Source organism: Homo sapiens, chromosome 21 (genome assembly GCF_000001405.40).
Source record: "Homo sapiens chromosome 21, GRCh38.p14 Primary Assembly".
NCBI lineage: Eukaryota > Metazoa > Chordata > Mammalia > Primates > Hominidae > Homo > Homo sapiens.
In genome coordinates, this window is record NC_000021.9 from 41,052,250 (window position 1) to 41,072,516 (window position 20,267).

At 45.2% G+C, this 20,267-nt stretch overlaps 1 annotated feature.

Moving 5' to 3' along the window:
* Nucleotides 205-1,404: an enhancer, noted in NCBI's record as "BRD4-independent group 4 enhancer chr21:42424381-42425580 (GRCh37/hg19 assembly coordinates)". NCBI's record gives its function as "activates an origin of replication core promoter dependent on BRD2, P300/CBP, MED14 and CDK7 cofactors, and independent of BRD4, by STARR-seq in HCT116 cells {active_cell/tissue: HCT116}" and the evidence as "EXISTENCE:reporter gene assay evidence [ECO:0000049][PMID:35650434]".

Genomic DNA, 20,267 nt, shown 5'->3' on the forward strand with positions numbered 1-20,267 from the left:
CTCATGCTATTTTTACTTTTGAAATTTTCTATAATAAGCGTGCATTTCTATAACAATAGAAAGATAAACATTTGTAGAGCATATGCTTAAATTCTATCATCTTGCCTCTTCACCGCCTCTCCAGACCCCATGTCAATGGTAAATGCTCTAAGTTTGTATCTCTAAAGCACGAAGTAGGATTTCATCTATAACTTTGACTTGGTATTAATGGTTTATTTCCATTAACATTTCACAATTTCAAAGAACAATAACATTTAGCCATAAAATGGCATTTAACCAAAGAGGACATGCATTAAGGCAAATGGAGGAGACTGCGTGGTTTGCACGCTCTGGGACATACCAGGCTAACCTGTAAGGAGAATGTCTTGTCCCCCTGCCCTGGTTTGTGCAGGGAGAATCCATTCAGCTCCTGAGGATGAACACTTCTTTTGCAAGGTATTTGCAAACCACACCATATCCACCTTTTATTTAAGTTTTTGATTTGCTGATAAATGGCTTATTATCTTCAGAAAAAATATTAGCTAAGCCCAGATCTTTTACCTGTTTCCTGCCGAAAGTGGCCAGATCAAAGCTGATATCAAAATTTTATCCTAATAAACATTTCACATCAACTTTGAATAGAACAAAATAGTTAACCGCAGTTGTAATTTTTTAAAATGTTGAAATAATTGACTCAATGTGTGACTGGTGAGCTAAGCCAGTGCTAACCGGGGCAAACCAGCTGTGTCACTGTCCATGAGCCAATCTTCTGTCCATGGTCCCCACTGCACCCCTGGATGGGGCGAGGACGCTGATGGACTTGCAGAGAGGAGTCGGTGAGGCTGCATCAGCCCCAGACAGCAGGACAACCACTGGGAGCCCTCACCATGAGCAGAAATGTCACCTCCCCAGAGCCGAGGAAAAGCAGAAGGCATCCTACAAAAACCTTCACAAAGGTAAGTACTGACCAACAGAAAGTGTGGACTGTGGACTGTGTGGAATGTACCAGATAAAAGCAGAGACATTTGGATATGTTTCCTAAATGCAGTAAATGCTGAATGAGGTGAATGAGCATTGATGGAATCGGAGGCGATAAGAGCAGCAGGCACAGGACGAGTCCCATGGGGACGTGCTGGATAAACCAGACAGTGTTTTGACGATGCTACAGCCACGGCAGCACGAAGAAATCAGCAGTTAAGAAGAAAGTAAGATCATGAGGGGACTCAAAATTGGTATGAGCAATATGTTATTGTGTTTCTAAAGATGAAAACATTCACGGCGTAGATTATAAATATGCAGCTATTATCAATGATTCTGTACAAGATGTGTTATTATCTAGATTCTTAAACTAGTAGCTTAGATGCAACCATTATGAAATGATTGTACAGAAGGAATATAGGAGAATTGGGGCCTAATTAGGGTACAGGAAGCCTGATGGGAAGGCAAGGCTTACAAATGAATCTAGGGTAGGGGTTTGAATTCAGAGTGAGGGCTCATTTTTGACCCTGTTCTTGATCCTAAGAGGGTGTAATAAAGACCATATTTCTAAACTCATATATAATGCATATCTATCACTTTGTATAATTATAGTAGGTATATTTCATATATTTCTGAAAAATTGTATGCTAATACTTCTTTTTGGAAAGTCAAATTATGCTCTAAATGCACCAGAGGAGATAATGCATAGACAATTGCTTTGAAAAATTTTAAAGCACAAAAATATCAGTTATTAATGATAACATCTGCACCATAATCTGTGACCATAACTCTAACTTGGTGTTAAAAACTCAATATGTAAAATTACGATGACAGTAAAATAAATACTGATTATCTCTTTTTAAAAAATGAAGACCTCTCATGTAAAATAAATGCATTTCCTCACATTTTGTGTTTTTTATGTTTATGCTGTAGAAAATGAATTCAGCTGCTGCATCCCAGATGAGCTGGCCCAGAAACCAGTTTGTTCCAGCAGCCCAGACCTGACTTAGCTTATGAGCCTATGGGGAGCAGGAGCAAACACATAGATGCACACTAAAGAAAGTGAAAACAAAGATACAATTTGGTGGCTAACTGTACACAGAAGAAAAAGACTTCAGGCATCAGGAACCAACCAAAGAGCAGCCTGGGTGACTAAGAGATGTTACTGTCATCGCCAAAAAACTGGATAGTTTTGGAGTGAAGCCAGGCTGGGGTATACGGCCAGGAGGATAGTGAAACATCATGGATTCAGTTTCCTCGGATGAGCTTGGGTGTTCAAATCACTGACAATCAGCATCTCAGCCTGAGAGCTTACACTTCCGTCTTGTGAAGTTTTAACCGGTGTGAGTAGGTTTCCAAGAACCTGGTCATCCCCACAGGATCTGATGAAAATTAGTTCCTAGATCCACAAAAAAAGGAAGCAGGGCTGGAGGCCACAGCCGGCCTGATTCTCAACCATGTGCAATATAGGAAGACCAGCTTTAGCACAAGTCAGGGCCTCCAACCTGAGCCCAAACAGCTGTCCACAAGGAGCTGGGGCATGCGCCCCAAGCTGAGCCAACCCTCTTTAGACATCAGCAGCGGGCCAGGGTCGGCCAAAGCTCCTCATGATATGCTAACATACTCTATGACACCCTATTTTGCTGCTAGAAATGACTAGAGAGGAGAAAAGGAGCCAGAATGAATCATTATATTAATAGCTCTCCAATTCAAAATAAAACATTTTCTGAAAGTTTACTCTTTGAAGAAAATTAGCAAATCATTATTGAAAATTCAGAGTAAAGGTGATTGTCGTGTTAGACCCTGAAATGCACACAGCTACGGGAGACGCATCACAGTTTGTCGTTGAAGGACAATGGACACTCCTACGAATTCTAGTAGAAAATTGAGGTCTACATTAGCAAAAAAAAAAAAAAAAATTAAATCCATATTGAAACATTTAAAGATATGAGGAAAGAAATTGCATTTGAACTACTGTTTCAACAGATAGAGTATTCTCTGCCATTGACATTGTGCTCTCAAAAGAATCAGTGTTGTACCTGAAAGTGTTTCTAAGAGACAGAAAAATCACATGCTCACATGGCCACTCTCAACGTGGATGCTCCATCGTTGCTTCCCAAACCCCTCTATACATTCATGCCTAAAATTCCTCTAAGAACACAAACGTTTGAAAGCTTGGAGCCTGGGTGAGAAGCCAACAATGCAGCTGATGGCCGTGCCACCTCTTCCTGTAGATATGTCACACGTGTGTAGCTGTCACCGCGGCATTAGTCATATATTTTTCAGAGGAATGACACACACCAGAAGTACTAGATCACTTACATGTTAATTGCAATTACACAGCAAAACATAATGGGCTGCCAAAATATTCACAGGATAATTGCCCTGCGATGACAAGATAATTCTTCCTATTCTTCCAAAACAGAAGGTAGTTGCCCCATCTAATTACTTTACAATCTTCCAGGCAAGAAATTTTCACTTGGTCCCAGCCAAGCTGGTACCTCTCCGCGCATGGCCTCTCTCTGAGCAGCCTTCATCAGCTCAGGGGATGTGTGCGGGTATGCCAGGATCCCATCCAGGCTGCCTGACCTCAGCACCACTGACTTGCAGAGCCAGATGCCTCTGTGTGTGTGTGTGTGTGTGTGTGTGTGTGTGTGTGTGTGTGTGTGTGGAGGGGATCAGCAGGGGTGGGCACCAGCCTGTGAATTTTTTGTAGAATGTTTAGCCGCACCCCTGGTCTCTACCCACTAGATGATAATACCACCCACCACACTCAGTTGTGACAACCAAAAATGCTTCCCCGACACTGCCAAATGTGCCCTCGGGGCCTACCATTGGGAACCACGGGATTCTGTGTATTTGCCCAGTTGTTGAGGAAGTAGGTCCTGTGCATAGCGGTTGATCCAGGGGCACAGCTCAGAAGCAGGGAGGCTGGGTACTGGACACCCTCTCCTCCTCAGTCCTCCTCTTCCCACCCCTCCAGGAACTCAGCCAGGCTGCCCTCTCCTCACCTAATGTCTCAACTCTAAAAAGCCAGGCAGGCCTTCCTCCCTCCAAAGAGCCCCCAGCTGTGAAACAACCCTGCTGCCTGCCCTGCTTTCCACAATGCCCCTCCCACCACCAGACCGGGCGCAGAGGCCTTCTCAAGGCTGTTTCACCAGCGCTGCCCATCTCAGGTCAGAACGAGGGGAGAAAGCACTTTGATTGAAAAATAAGGCATACAACAATGATATCCTTAATTCTCACAGGGGTGTTTGATGAGAATTCAGGTAGTGTGCACCAATGAACAAAGAAATAGTGTGGGGTCAGAAAGCCATTTTCAGTATTCCCTGCATAAGGCTGGCCCTCCTGAGCCCTTCCCAGACCCTGGGGGCCGGGCAATGCTTCAGAGTCCAGGACAGTCCAGTCCTGAATAAAAGGAGCAGACAGTGGATCCTGAATTGACTTGATTTAACTTGTCTCTGATTATTTCAAATAATAAATTAGGAAACTTACAGAAGATTCTCAGTACAGCATTATAATGTGCTTAAGATACAATCACCAAGTGGTGATATAATTGCCTTAGAATAGGGGTTGGCAAACATTGTGTGTAAAGGGCCAAAGACTTAATATTTTAGGCATTGTGGATCACACAAGAACTATTTTATTCTGCCATTTTAGCATGCCATAGACAATATGTAAATTAATGAGTGTGGTCGTGTTCCAATAAAACTTTATTGACAAAAGCAGGCTAGGGGCCGGATTTAATTAGGGCCATAGTTTGCCTATCCCTGTCTAGGAGGATTTCCACTTGCTTTTGCATCCAACGATTACTGAGCTTGAATTAGGAGCCAGGCATTGGGAAGCACACTGGGGATATCGGATGAGTAGCACACTGACCCACCTCCTAAGAAGCTTGCAGCCTAGTGGGGGTGATGTGTAAATAGCAGATCCAGAAGAATAGATACAGCAGAAACCCAGAGGCATAATCAACCCCCTGCCACCCCCAGGTGAGGGGTCCCTTGGCCTCATGCTCACCAACTCCCAACTTATTTATCTGCTCCTATTTACGGCAAAACTCCCCAAAACAGTAGTGGTCTATGTTGCTATCTCTGCCTCCTCAGCTCCCCCCACCCCCAGTCTATTGAGCCTATTCCATGTGGGTTTCTGGTCCCAAACATTCCTCTGGAATGTTGTCAGGAATGACAGTCACTCTAAATAAAGCCTTCACCAGGGGCTCCAGGTGCGCTGAAGTTGCCCATCCACTGACAGAGGCTTCGTTTCTGCAGAGGCTACCACCTACGCCTCATCAACACACTTGAGGTATCCCATCCTGTGTCCCTGGCAGCTGGGGCTTCCCACCATGGCCATGCCCCAGAGGGCATCCTCTTTCTTCTGAGTCTCCTGTGCTCATAGTAAAAAAAAAAAAAAAAAAAAAAGAGAGAGAGAGAGAGAGAGACTACAGTTCTGAAATGCCCCATCTCCAATAAATTTTACCCTATGCTCCTATCTCTGCCCCTGCCAGATGCCTGCCAAAGTGAAGGGCAGGGATTTAGCCAGCCACTGTCCACTCCCTGCCCACTTTGTGGCTCAACTCAGAGGCATCCTTCAAGTTCCACCATATCATATTCATGTACTATCTTCTTTGCTGTAATTTATGGACACAATTGGAGCACTTCCGAGCTCCAATTAAGATGGTGAATGTATCTCATTTTATAATATTTAGCAAGACTTCACCACTGGCTGACCTTCCAAATGCGAAGATTGGGCTATATTTTAATTCTCACTTCGTGGTGATAGCTTTGTGTCTGAGTTATGAGTGAGAGAATATAAGATGCTATTGTTTTCCTCTTTTCTAACCACAAAGGGCAATTGCATTGGAAGTGGAAATTTCATAGAAAGGAAAATGAAGACACCCACTCCTGTAGCATTACGGGAAATAGTTCACTGACTCCGCAGTTCAGATGCTGTCTTTGATCATTACAACATACCTGTACCTCTGATTTTTAAAATTCCACCCATCACAACATCATCCAAGGGTGCACATGAAGAAAATCAGCACATTAATTTTTGTAGCAAAAACATTAGGGAGGGATTGCAATTCACAGCTTATACTGGTTCAAGATCAACAGCAATGACATAAAACCACCTAGTGACAGGCTTCCTGGAGAAGTCCCAAATTTGCAAATAGACAAAAATGCTGTCAACTGAAATTAGTGGAAATTGAAGGCCTTTGACCTATCCTACTCTGAAGCCTGAGTCGGCTGCACAGGTCCTGCAGGCCTTCCCTTTGTGAAAAGAGGCAGAGAGATGGGGTTCTGTGCCTTGGCCACTGGGGCAAAGAGCAGAGCACAAAGCTGAGACCATGACCAACCTCTGTCACAGTCACCACGCTGCTGAAATGACTGGCTTTACTAGCAGCATTGCCAAATCAGAAGTCACGGCTGGGGATTATGTAGCTATGCCTGGGGCACGCACGCATCAGAGGCCTAGTCTGTGATATGGCAGAGGCTGAAAGCACCATCTGTCCACCATCCCTCTCTCACCAGCCTGCTCTATCTCCGAAAGAGGAGTAACCTTTGGTAGTGTCAGTGCTTTCACAGAGGTCAATGCACCCTATGAGCAGGATGGAACTCAGAACCATGGCTCTCATACTCTGTAAATTCTCATAAAGATGTATTAGTTTCCTGTTGCTGCTGTAACAAGTGATTGCAGATGCAGTGGTTAACAATACACACATTTACTCTCCTATTGCTGCAACAGCCCAAAGTCAGAAATGAATCTTGCAAGACTAAAATCAAGGTATAAACAGGGCTGTGTTCCTTCTAGACTCTACGGGGAGTGTTTTCTTGCCTTTTCCAGATTCTAGAGTGCACCCAAGTTCCTTGGCTGGCAGCTCCTCCCTCCAATTTCAAAGCGTGTCACTCCATCTCTGTTTTTGACACCTGCCACATCTTCTTTTCTGACTCTAACCTCCTACTTTCTTCCTATAAGGACCTTTGTGATTACTATGAGCCCACCCAGATGATCCAAGACCACCCTCCCCTCTCAAAATCCTTAACTTACTCACACCTACAAAGTCCTTTTTGCTGTGTAATATAGCATATTTACAGGTTCTGAGGATTAAAACATGGATATCTTGTTGGGGGAGGAATGGTAATTATTCTTTCTATCGCAAACACATGAAAAGGCAAAATCCAGAATGAAATACTGCCTGTCAAAGGCAGAGGACAGGACACTTAGAAATGGATGCTAATTCAAAGGTCTGCTGGCTGGAAGACGTGAAGGGAGAGGTAAGAAAAAGGAGGAGAAAGGTAGAGATTGCCAAATTCAGAGACAGAGAGCACTTGAAACCACAGCACTGACTTGGAGTCAGCAGCCCTGGGACGCAAGCTGGCCTGGCGCCACCCTTTTCTGTGACTCTATGCATGACCCATGCCTTTCTGAGCTTTATTCTGCTCTCTTCCTCACCCTTCACTGCCTCCCACCCTGGCTCTGCACTGGTGAATGTGGCCTTCCTTCCTGGTCGAGCTGCTCCTGTCAACCCCTCTCTGGGACTCTGTGTCCCTCCTCTCACCTGTGCCTCACAAGTCATCTTCTCACTCTTCTCCTCTGTCCTTCTTCTCCAAGGAATCACTCCTTTATCCCACAAACATGCTGGAATCTCCCTTCTCAGAAAGAAATCTCCCTTGGCCTCATGTTCACCTCTGCCCAGCTTATTTCTCTGCTCCTATTTATAGTAAAACTCCCCAAAATAGTGATCTATCTTGCTGTCCACCTCCTCAGCTCCGCTCACCCCCGGTCTATTGATCCTACTCCGTGTGGGTTTCTGGCCCCAGACATTCCTCTGGAATGCTGTCAGGAATGACAGTGACTGCTTTGTCTTGCCTGGGGGCAGTCCTCTCACCTTCCTTGACTTCTCAGTGCCTTGGACATGGCTGATCACCCCTCCCTTTTCAGCATTTCCTTCCTTGCCTCCCTTGACATCAGGTCCCCCAGTCTTCTCCCTGTCTCCCTGTCTGCATCTTCTTGGCCTCGTTTGCCAATCCCCACTCCTTCCTTTGCCAGCTTGTCAACGTCGGGCACCACTGGCTCCGTCCTCAGACCTCTCCTCTTCCTACTCCTGTTCTCTTGGTGAGTTTACACAGTCTCACCACCCTCAATGCCTCCTGCATGCTAAAAGTGACCTCATCTCCCTTATGAGCTGCATTAGTCTGTTCTCATGCTGCTAATAAAGACATGCCCAGGACTGGGTAATTTATAAAGAAAAGGAGGCTTAATGGACTCACAGTTCCACATGACTGGGGAGGCCTCACAATCATGGTGGAAGGCAAAGGAGGAGCAAAGGCACATCTTACATGGTGGCAGGTGAGAGAGAGTGTGCCCTTTATAAAACCATCAGATCTCATGATTTATTCACTGTCACAAGAACGACACGGGTAAAACCCACCCCCGCATTCAAAGACCTCCCATCAGATCCTTCCCACGACACATGGGGATTATGGGATCTACAGCTCGAGATGAGATTTGGGTGGGGACACAGCCAGATCACATCAGCACCTCAAGCGCCCTTCCCATCTCGAGACTCCTGTATCCAGCTCCTACCCAGTATCTCTATGTGGATACCAGACATACATCTCAGACACAGCAGGCCCAAAGATGAGCCTTGGTTCATTACCTCCAGCCCTGCTACTCCCAAGGTCACCCCTACTTCAGCAAATCCGTTCTGACTGCTCAAGCCAAAATTCTAGGGGCCAACATTGCCTCCTCACCCTCTGCTGCTGTACCCGCAGCTCAGTCGTGAAGCCCATTGGTTCTATATTCAAAGCCTATTCAGAGATTACTCTGCACTTTGTGCAGCCTCCACCAAAAATCCCTAAGCCTAAGCCACCATCGTTCTTCGCCTCGAATACTCGAGACAAGTGGTCCTCCTTATCTGCAGTTTTACTTTCCACAGTTGCAGTTACCCACAGTCGACTGTGGTCTGAAAATATTAAATGGAAAAAATTCAGAGATAAACAGTCCATTAAGTTTTAAATTATGCATCATTCTGGGTAGCCCGATGAAATCTCTCACCATCTTGCTCTATCCTGCCTGGGATGTGAACCCCCTCTTTGTCCAGCATCCCCACACTGTCTGCACTATGCTCCCATAAGTCACTTAGTAGCTATCTCAGTGATCAGATGGACTGTTGTGATATCACAGTGCTTGTGTCCAAACCACCCTGATTTTACTTTTATTATAGTATGTTGCTACAGGTGTTTTATTTTATTATTAGTTACTGTTAATCTCTTACTGTGCCTAATTTTTAAGTTAAGCTTCATCATAGGTATCTATAGGACAAGACATAATCTATATAGGGTTTAGTACTATCCGTGGCAACAGACATCCACCGGAGGTCCTGCAAGGCCTCCCCTGGGTCAAGAGGGGCTACTGTAGACTGCTCACCACCTTCCCTTCTTGCCCCATCTATGTTCTATTTTCAACACAACAGCCAAAGAGTAATACTTTCCTTTTAAAAAACAAAATCAGATCTTGTCTTTCCCCCACCCAAAATCTTCCCACGACGTCCTATCTCATGCAGAAAAAACAGACAACAGTACACCCACCAGTTCCCTGTGATGTTCATGTGGCTCCAGTTCAGCCTCTCCGGCCTCATTCCCAGAGGCTCCCATCCAGCCTCACTATTCCTGGAACAGCAGCCTCTGTGCCGTGCACTTGCCAAGTCCACTGCGGAGACCCTAGTTTCTTCAGACCTTCCCAAGGTTCACGCCCTGACTTTATGGTGTCTCTGCTCAAATGCCTCTTTCTTGAGAGGCCTTCCCTGGCCACCACATCCAACATGGCTCCTTGTTTCCCCAGCCCTTTTCCCTGTCCTTTTGCAGAATGTGAAACACACCATCGCATGCAATCAGTGTGCATGTTTACCTGTGGATTTCCCATGTTCCTACTGGAATGTGAGCACCGTAAGGACTGATATTTCATGGGTCTCTCTCTGTTGCATTTCCAGGACCTAGAATAACACCCAGTGCATAGGAGGTGCTCTATTTGTAGAATGTAGAGTGTTTGTAGAATGCAAGTGTGCTCTCACAGCACGACTGTTCACGCCATCACGGTGCTCTCTTGCTCTATTCTAATTGTCTGTCACTCCAATCGCCTCCCACACAGGGCTATAAGATCTTCAGGGGTGGGGGTGTTATCTCCTTTGCCCCAATGCCTAGGTATTTGTATGTCTTGGATGCTTGGAAAGATGAATGGAGAAATGAATTGATGAGATTAGATGAGTCAGAATTATGCCTAAGGTTGGCCTTGGGCCCACTGTTCGACAGGTAAATTGGTTTGCTTTTAATTCATCAGACATTTCAGTGGGCTGTATAAATGCCATCCCAGCTGGTTACACAGGCAGGAACAATTGAAATGATATTAAAAAAAAAAAAATCTGGCCAGGTGCGATGACTCACACCTGCAATCCCAGCACTTTGGGAGGCTGAGGTGGGTGGATCACAAGGTCAAGAGATCGAGACCATCCTGGCCAACATGGTGAAACCCCGTCTCTACTAAAAATACAAAAATTAGCTGGGCGTGGTGGTGCATGCCTTAATCCCAGCTATTCAGGAGGCTGACGCAGGAGAATCGCTTGAACCCAGGAGGCAAGGGTTGCAGTGAGCCGAGATCGCGCCACTGCACTCCAGCCTGGTGACAGGGCGTGACTCCAGATCAAAAAAAAAAAAAAAAAAATCTATGGGCTGACACTTTCCACTTTCCCCTAGGGTATAATTAGCGATGGGGTAGCTTCCACTTTTCAAAGCCTTTCATGGCAATCTAGCCCCATCTGCCCTACCTGTGCCTTAAACAATTGGAGGGGATGTCCCCTGGATACTCTCCAAATGCCACCCTCACCTTCCCAGCAGAAATGGCAAGTCTAGAAAATTGCCTCCTAAAGCTAATTCTGACATAATGAAAAGTAAATACAAATGTATCCATTTTCCTCTGGCTTCTCTTCTTGATTTCTATCAGACCTCGAGAGATTCTGTAAAGACCCTGGCCAGCATTCACTGGTGTGGATCATTTAACTACCGTTGTGTTTAACTATCATTGTCCCAAAACATAACTTGATAATTTGGGGCTGCCCAATAAAATTTTAACAATCTTACCTTTTTTTGCTCTAAAAAAAAACAGCAAAAAAAATAAAATAAAATAACTAAACCAGATTTGTTATTTGAAGAAAGGGAAGGGAAAAAATGAAGAAATCACTTAAAATATAGATATTTGAAAGTATGGTTGGGGAAACTAGCATCCAAACCATTTGTATTAGAATTATAGTATTTTCCACTTAAAGAAGTGAGACAAGTTAATTGCATAGTTACCATAAAATAAACTACATGGTAATTACACAGAAACTCCTTTAGAAACCGTAGTAATTACACCGAACTGAAGCCTTCTAAAATAGACCAAGAGTTACCAAGTTCACACACAATGGAAAGATGTTTAACCTGTTCGCCGACTACTTGATGTGAACAGAGCACGGCCAGTGACTTTTGATGCCCGCTTCTGGAGATAATGACTTTTAAATACAGATGTCTTTCTAGAAATGGTCCCTAGCACAATATTTCCTTTCAACAAATGGGAGAAAAAGCTCAGTTACCCACTGCCAGGCAGCAGGAAAGTTGACAGTAATTTGCCGTCTGAGGGAGGTGACAGTCCTAAAAGGGAAATATTAACAGTCTCGATTTTAGAAAGGAGCTTTTGGTTGCTAGCTCACATTTACATACTGTATGTCGAATCTGAAAGGAAGCTATGTTCGAATAGAAATGGCTCTGCTGAGAAGTGAATGGTACAGTATATTTTGTATAGAAAAAGCAATTTTCTTGGGAATTAAAAGGCCTGTTACGCAGTCCCTGCCCAAAAGGCTCAAAACAATCACCTTTTGTCATTCTGTTTTACACAAGCCAAATTATTCAGCTGGCAAAGTAAAAGGGGAGGGAGATAAAATACACGGATGAGGGAGATTGTCATCCCCCAAGAAACTTGGTAGAACGCAAAGGTCTGGGAAATAGGCTGTAGGAATCCTGGGCTCTTAGCATGCGGTGTTGTTTGGAGGTGACTAGCTAACTGTTAGGAGTGATTTTATCCAAAAGGTGGAAGTCTGTCTCCTGGTGTCCTTAAGTCATGGGGATTAAGGTTCCGGAAGAAGCAATTCCAGGGTTTCTAATGGTCCCTGGAGTTTCTCGGCACAGAGCTCAGCCTCCTGCTGCCCTCCCCAAGGCGAGACGGGGCTCAACAGGCCTGTCTACAAACGGCCTTGCCGCTGCTGCTCTGCTCCTTGCAGGGCCTCCACACTGGCCGCAGCCCAGGATCCAGATGACATCAGGACTAGATTCCGAATCAGCTGCCAAGGCTGTTGTGAATTTAATTTCATAGACATTGTTCTGCTAAGTTGATGCCAGGACAGATGATGGGTATGAGAGCAAGAAATGAGATTAGCGATGAGCAAAACCAGACGAAGGGGAAAAGAGAAATTTCTAATTGCACATAACTTAAACCTCATTTGCGTTCCACTCTGACGCAGCCAGGCCAACTCCAAACCCACAGAGATGTGTTTAGTGCAAACATACTTCTGTTAAACCCTGACCTGAGTCCTCGCTGTCTGTTACACACAAACACAAAGTGTCGTTGTGTCTAGAGGGCTGTGGGCATCTCTGCTAAGAGGTGCAATCATTAAAGGCAGAGAACTGTCTCCCACTTCATTTTCCTAGCTCCATAAACATTTGTTGACTGAATAAATGAGTGCCTGGGTCTGAGCAGAGATCTACTAGAAGTCACCACAGAATGTCACAACCTGGAGCCAAAAGACTGCATGATCTCAACTCGGCCTGGTGGCTCACGCCTGTAATCGTAGCACTTTGGGAGGTTGGACGCACAGGGGATAACAGGTCCCACTGAGACACAGTGGCCATCTAGTCCAGGCCTCTGTCAATGGGTGGCCTCCTGCTGTCTGGGCAAAGACCTGACCTGTGTGGACGTGAGAGACCGAGGTTTATGCACAGGCTCATGGTGGAGAGACTAAAACAAGCACAGCCCAGACAAAGTCAGCGGTGATGCTGGGAGGAACTCCAAGATCGTCTGCTGAGGTGGGCAGATCACTTGAGGTCAGGAGTTCAAGACCAACCTGGTCAACATGGTGAAACCCTGTCTCTACTAAAAGTACAAAAATAAGCTGGGCATGGTGGTGTGTGTAGTCCCAGCTACTCGGGAGGCTGAGCCAGGAGGATTGCTTGAGCCTGGGAGGCAGAAGTTGCTGTGAGCTAAGATTGCACCACTGCACTCCAGCCTGGGTGACAGAGTGAGACCGTCTCAAAAAAAAAAAAAAAAAAACGAAGACTGTGTGATCTGTTAAGGGAAAGACAGCTGCAAAGTTGTCTTGCTCCTAAATGTATGACAATCAAAAAAACCAGAGTTGTTACAATTAGTTAGAATCCTGAGATAAGGAGCATTTTAGAGTTGTAATCTTGCAGAGTCATGCAGTGACTGGCAGCGATAAGAATTCAGCATTCCAGATGTTTTTTCAACACTTCTGTCCACCACGCTGCTTAGGGCTTCATTCACAATTGCTCCATTTCAACATGCCATGTGTCTGAAGTCTATGCAGTCATCATCCCTCAGAAAGACTCGTGGTTCTGCATGTGTCTAGGATAGACTGACACTAACTTGACTTGCCTATTACTGTTCTAGAGTGGTTGCTAGTTAAAATGATTGCCATGAAACTTCTCAAGATAGACTGCCAGGGAAACATGTTACATCAACCATGTTCTTGAGTAAGAATGTAAATGAATACATTCCCTATTCCAGGGACATATGAGGTAGACCTTAGCCCTAACACAGCAGGGGTTTTGCACCAGGAAAGCCACAGAGCAGACAGACGGTCTTGGAGTTCCTCCCAGCATCACCTCGGACTTTGTCTGGGCCGTGCTTGCTTTAGTCTCTCCGCCATGAGCCTGTGCGTAAACCTCGGTCTCTCACATCCACAGAGGTCAGGTCTTTGCCCAGACAGCAGGAGGCAACCCATCGACAGAGGCCTGGACCACATGGTCACCGTGTCTCAGCGGGACCTGTTATCCCCTGTGCATCCAACCAGATCCCATAAGAAGGCAGCCTTCTCACCCAGACCTAGATTGGACCAAGTGTGTGGACTCTACTTGATACACTGAAATGTTCAATGTATTTTAAACAACTAATCTCAATATGTTATTGAATTCCCAAGAACCTCTTTGGTGAAATTGATTTTGTAAGCCTCACACGCCCTGGGGGTGCCCCGCCACCCCATTTAGAAGGAACAGGGTGGCTGGTGGGTGATGCAGGGGTCTTGGCCACACCTGTGTCTTTGTCTTGTCATTGGAAAAGTGGAGATGATGGCAGAGCCTCCCTCTCAGGCTCAGTGCAAGGACTAATGAGAGAAAATATGCATCCAGTGAAGAAATAAGTGCCCAACCAATGTTACCTCTTATCACTATGAACTGCAGCTGAGGAATCTAAGTTCCGGGGACGGGGCCAAAAACACAGCAGGAGGATCACGGGGCTAAGAAGAAGATTCCTACCTGCCAAATCTCAGGGCCGTGGGGAAGTGCTAGCAGTTCACAAAGCAACTCAGGGCCCTGCTCAGAAGTGAGTTTTTTCCTTTTCCCCCTGGAGGAATAAGCAGATTTTAGGTGATATACAAAGACAATCACATTTTGGAAAGCAAACCCCGGGACATTGTGCAAATATGCACACACATTCATATACACATACAACACACACACACAACACACACACATACATACACACACAACACACACATACACACACAACACACACACATACATACACACATACAACACACACAACACACACAAATACATATAACACACACACATACATACACATAAACAACACACAATACACCCACACACACATACATACACACATACAACACACACAACACACACATACACATGTATACAGAGGTACGTTTTACATGTTTATATTTTCTAATGTAAAGGCAACATCAACTGTAGAAAATTTGAAAAATATTGAAATGTATGACAATAATTAGAAGCTACTCATAATCGCATAATCTCAACATCAGGAAAATTCGCAGTCGACATTCTGGGAGTTTTCCCCTAAACACATGGATATTTTGGGACAATAGCCCTATCCATACATCTTTGTATAATATCCTTCTTTTGTTGATGTGCCACTTCAAGAATTTACTCGGTTTTACAAGACAAAATTTTAAAGACAGAGAAAATCTTCCCATGCTACCATATGTATTTTTCCTCTTTAGGGGTTTTATAGTCTGACACACAAAAGTCACCATTCAGAACCCTAAGTGCATGGGGTCAGTCCCTCTCAGCCACGTCGAGACTTTAATACCAGAGACATGGACAGGCGATACCTCCTCCCCAGGACCAAGGACTGAGTGATCTTGATGGTGAAGAGGTGACTGAATTCTTCAAATGGGCACTGCATACAATCAGGTCCACAGGGATGCAGGATGGGCAGGCATCCCATCTGTGCCCAGTCTGGGGGCAGTGGAGCCAAGTTGGCTACCTGAAAGCATCAACCTTGATGGCAGGAGGCTCAGTGTCCCCACAGAGATGCAGTCCCGGTTTGGGCTCTCCAGGAGGCAGGCTCCATCTTTCCCGTGTCTGCCCAGAAATCTCTGCTCCTATGTCACCCGACATTCTGTTGCTTGGTAACTAGAGCACCTAATTATTCTACTAGGAGGTCAAAGAAATGCCAGCAACCCCATTACATAGACCCAAGAAAGTCAGACATAAGGCATTCATTTGCATAAGAGAACTTTATTTTTCAGCTAGAGATAGGAAAGAAAGAGACTCCAAAGTTCAGTGTATTTTTGCTAATACGAAAGCAAGATGACCTGGAAAATAAAGTGCAGTACAAAAAAAAAGTGACGAAAAGCAAGTTAGAAGAGGTTTTTGGTGTTTGATTTTTGGTTTTTGTTTTTAATTCCTGAAATTGTTCATAGACAAGGAGTAGTGAATGGTCAAGGAGGGAAAGTACTTTTTCATCATTGAGAAGAGAAAATGCTTTTTAAAAATCTGTTAGATAATGAGTTGTTTTCTAGTAAAGATTTCTTAAAGATCATGGGGTTTTTTTGGTTTGAATTTTGTTTTTTTGTCATTTTTGTTTTTGAGTGGAGTTTTCTTTTTAACTAATTCTAGGTTATCAGGTTTAAAAATAATAGAGTTGTTTTTTACGTTTTTTGTTGACAATATCTGTGTGTTTTTATCTGACTCTCTGTGGCTATAATTGCCAGAGTTTCATTTCCTAAAGAATTCTTCCTTTTACTCTTGGTTGTTTGCTAAAAATATCCCAGCTGCCTGTAGACAATGGGCATGGCTGCCGCCTAGCCAGCCCCCTGCCAGTGGAGTGTTCTGCTATTCATAGCTAGGTCCTCTTCAGACACGTGAAGACTGGAGGTCCTGATTTCTATGTCTTCTCTAAGTAATGCCATGAGTGACTGCAGGGGCTTTGGAGAAACATTTCGCGTTCCCAGCCATACCCATCTCTAGATAGATATGACTCGCTCCACACCATTACAGAGTCGAGAAATGCTCTCTCATTTCCTGATTGTCTCCCAGTCAAATTTCACACCAACGTTGCAGCACACCATGGGCCTCTGCCTGCCTTGAGTGGTATTGGATACCCCAGAACCGCCCATCCCGTTTAAAATACCCCAAAAATGCTGCTAACTGCCCCCTGGAACCAGAAAAGCTCGGAAGCAAAGAACGAGGCGGGCTGGGAGAGAGGGGAGAAAGATTGTTCCTTGAGAATTCCGTTCACCGATGAAAACTGGCGAAAAAATTAAACAGCTCCCATGTTGCTGGGCTCCCGCGTTCCTTACGTCACCCGGCACTCTTGCTTGGTGCGTGCTGGCTGACTTGCTCTCCGCACCTGCTCTGGACCAGCGCTCCTCCCGGGTCTGCGCATCCGCGGGGAGCGGGAGGCCCGGAGCTGCAAGGGTCGGTCCGCTCGCGCCCTCTGCTGGCATTGAGGAGTCACGACCTGGTCGAACCGGCCACTTGGACCTGAGTTGCTCGGTGTTGCCCTCAGGGCCATTTCACCCAAAACCTCCTGTTCATTTTGAAGGCTTATCATAGCCCAGACATATCCCCTATGGCTGAAAGAATGCAGGAAATAATTAATTGGAAAGCACATGTGAAAAATAACATACACAGGATGGTGGGGCTGCACCATCAATGTGAATGCACTTAATGCCACTAAACCGTACACTTGAAAATGGTTAAAAAGGTAAATTGTAGGGCTGGGCATGGTGACTCATGCCTGTAATCCCAACACTTTGGGAGGCTGAGGCGGGCGGATCACTTAAGGTCAGGAGTTCGAGACCAGCCTGGTCAACAGGGTGACACCCCATCTCTACTAAAAATACAAAAATTAGCTGGGCATGGTCGCGGGTGCCTGTAACCCTAACTACTAGGGAGACTGAGGCAAGAGAATCACTTGAACCCAGGAGGCAGAGGTTGCAGGGAGCTGAGATCATACCACCACACTCAAGCCTGGGCGACAGAGCGAGACTTTGTCTCAAAAAAAGAAAAAAAGTAAATTGTATGTTGTGTACATTTTACCACAATTATATATATACACATATGATGCCAATGAGGGCATGTGAAAAGAAGAGCAATTGTGCTGACACATCTAATGTGCTGCTCCCAATCCACTTGAAGCCTTCTTCTTTCCCCTGGCCACGGAGAAGTCACAGTCGGTGCCCAGGGCTGGTTCCTGGGTAGGGAGGGTGATGGGGTACAGAAAAGGTAGCCCAGGGCCTCAGGGGGGGCCTGGGCAGAGTGTGGTGGTCACACAGCAAAAACTGCCCCCTCCCTCCCCATGTTATTCTCCACCTCCCTCCTCACTCTCCCCAGAGTGTACGAGAGAGACTCATGGCAGCCCCAAAAATGGAGCCATGAAGGGCTTTAAAGAACCATATATTTGCCAAGTATGGTGGCGCATGCCTGTAATCCCAGCACTTTGGGAGGCCATGGTGGGAGGATCACTTGAGGCCAGGAGTTTGAAACCAGCCTGGGCAACATAGTGAGGCTCTGTCTCTACAAAAAAATTAAAATTAAAAAAAAATTAGCCAGGCTTGTGGTGCACCTGTAATTCCAGCTGCTTGGGAGGTCAACACAGGGGAATTGCTTGAGCCTGGGAGTTTAAGGATGCAGTGAGCCATGATCAATGGCATCACTGCACTCCAGCTGGAAAGACAGAGCCAGATTCTGTCTCAAAAAAAAAAATGTATGTTTAATCCTTCAATCCCCTCCTTTTCAAAGTTCAGTGTGGTGAGGAAGATTGGAAAGTGGAGAGGCGCCCTGAGCAAGCTGAGAGAAGGGGCACAGGGACAGCCATCACCCCACACGCAGAGTCACCCAAAGACATTCACTCCAACAGGAAAACTCCAAAACTTGAGTCCAAAATCCAAACCAGAAAATAAAATGGACCGTGCTGTATAAACAACAAAAGACAAGCTTCTCTCTCTCTCCCGTCTATCTGTGTCAAGCTCTCTGGAGGAAATGGACGCTCGCTAGGAGGAAAAGAAGGATGGAGGGAGAGGTAGGAAGAGACGGTATGATGAGGGACAGGGTAGAAGAGGACTGGGCAGCCTGCCCGCCTGGAACCCACTGTCTAGCTTCCCACCGCAGACTCAAGGGATGCTCGCGGCTAAGAGCCTCAAGGGATGTCGGGGCTAAGAGCCCGCTCTGCCCGGGTTTGGGCAGAAGGTGGACCTGTACATTCCAGACCCAGCAGGCAGGCCCATCAGGGAGTGTGGTGTGTGCACTGTGCAAGCCATTGGGGGTTTTAATATGTGCTATATATCAAGGGATATATAGCACATGTTATATATGTGCTCAAGGGATGGTCGGGGCCAAGAGCCCACTCTGCCCGGGTTTGGGCAGAAGGTGGACCTGTACATTCCAGACCCAGCAGGCAGGCCCATCAAGGAGTGTGGTGTGTGCACTGTGCAAGCCATTGGGGGTTTTAACATGTGCTATATATCAAAGGGAAAAATGTAAACCACCAAACCATCTCTCAATTTATTCCTTTATAGCAGTCCACATTTTAAACTCTAAATGTAAACATGTAGCCTCCAAATATGGTACTATTCTTTTTAAAAAAGAAAAGAGAAATTTGGCAAGAGCCTAGTAAATTGACATCTTGCACAGGAACTCATATTTGTTGTCTGTCAACACCACGGTCTGGAGCATTCATTAAAGTTAAACTAAAGACCTTAACGGGAATCTCTGGGCCATGTGGAAAGGAGCTTCCAGAACGACCAGCAGAGTGCTGCAGGCTTGCAAACTGGGTCTCCAGCACCCTACAGAGACAGCAAGGCGCCCCCGAGTGGTGGCACATGTCCACAGTGGTGATACAGCCAGCCACGTTTGCTAAGACAGACCCCGCCTCAAACATGTGGGGTCTCCACATTCCACTTAATCCTGCCTCCCTCTTAAGCTACAGACCTTTCACAAACTATGTGGAATAGCATAGCATCTCCTATAACAGCAAGTTTACGATCATATTTGCTGCATTTGATTTGGAAGGGTTTATGCCTTATAGATGAGCCTCACATTTAATTGATGAAACCCATGTTTCCGAAGCACATTGAAGAACTATATTTTTATGGAGATGTTTGATTCAGGAAACATCTGTTGAGAACGTGTCAGGCCTAGGCACAGGATCAGTCATCTGTGCAAAGCTGCTAGAGCTGTTAGTCCAAACCAGTCCTGAGAAAGAAAGATTTGTCTTCTTACTTTGTGATCCAGCTCCTTTTCAGTCCTCATTCCAGACTTTGAGGGTAGTTAACATCGATTGTCAGCTTCCTCCAGGTAACAAGGAAGCTGATTCCTGGGGGGTGCCTCACAGAGCTTAACAAAATTTCACCAGCTAAATCCAATCTACAGAGAGAGGTACACAGAGAACATCAATGTAAAGCTCTTATTACACTTTAATTTTTTAAAGTAAGTTTTTAAAATTATTTTTAAATATATTTATTTTAAAAATTATTTTAAAAAATTTATTTATAAATATTTATTTTAAAAATCACTAAAACTTTTTAACAATTCCTCAGATGTATTTTGATATTCTATTTCGGTCTTTCATTCATTCAACAAACCTTTTTTGAACACCGACATTGCAGATACTTTTCAGGGAAAGAACAAGATAGAGCCCCTGACCTCACTGGGGACAGGCAAGGAAATGTGTAGTGCAGTCATAAAATTTTGGAGAAAACTTAAAGGGGAAAACATTCTGGG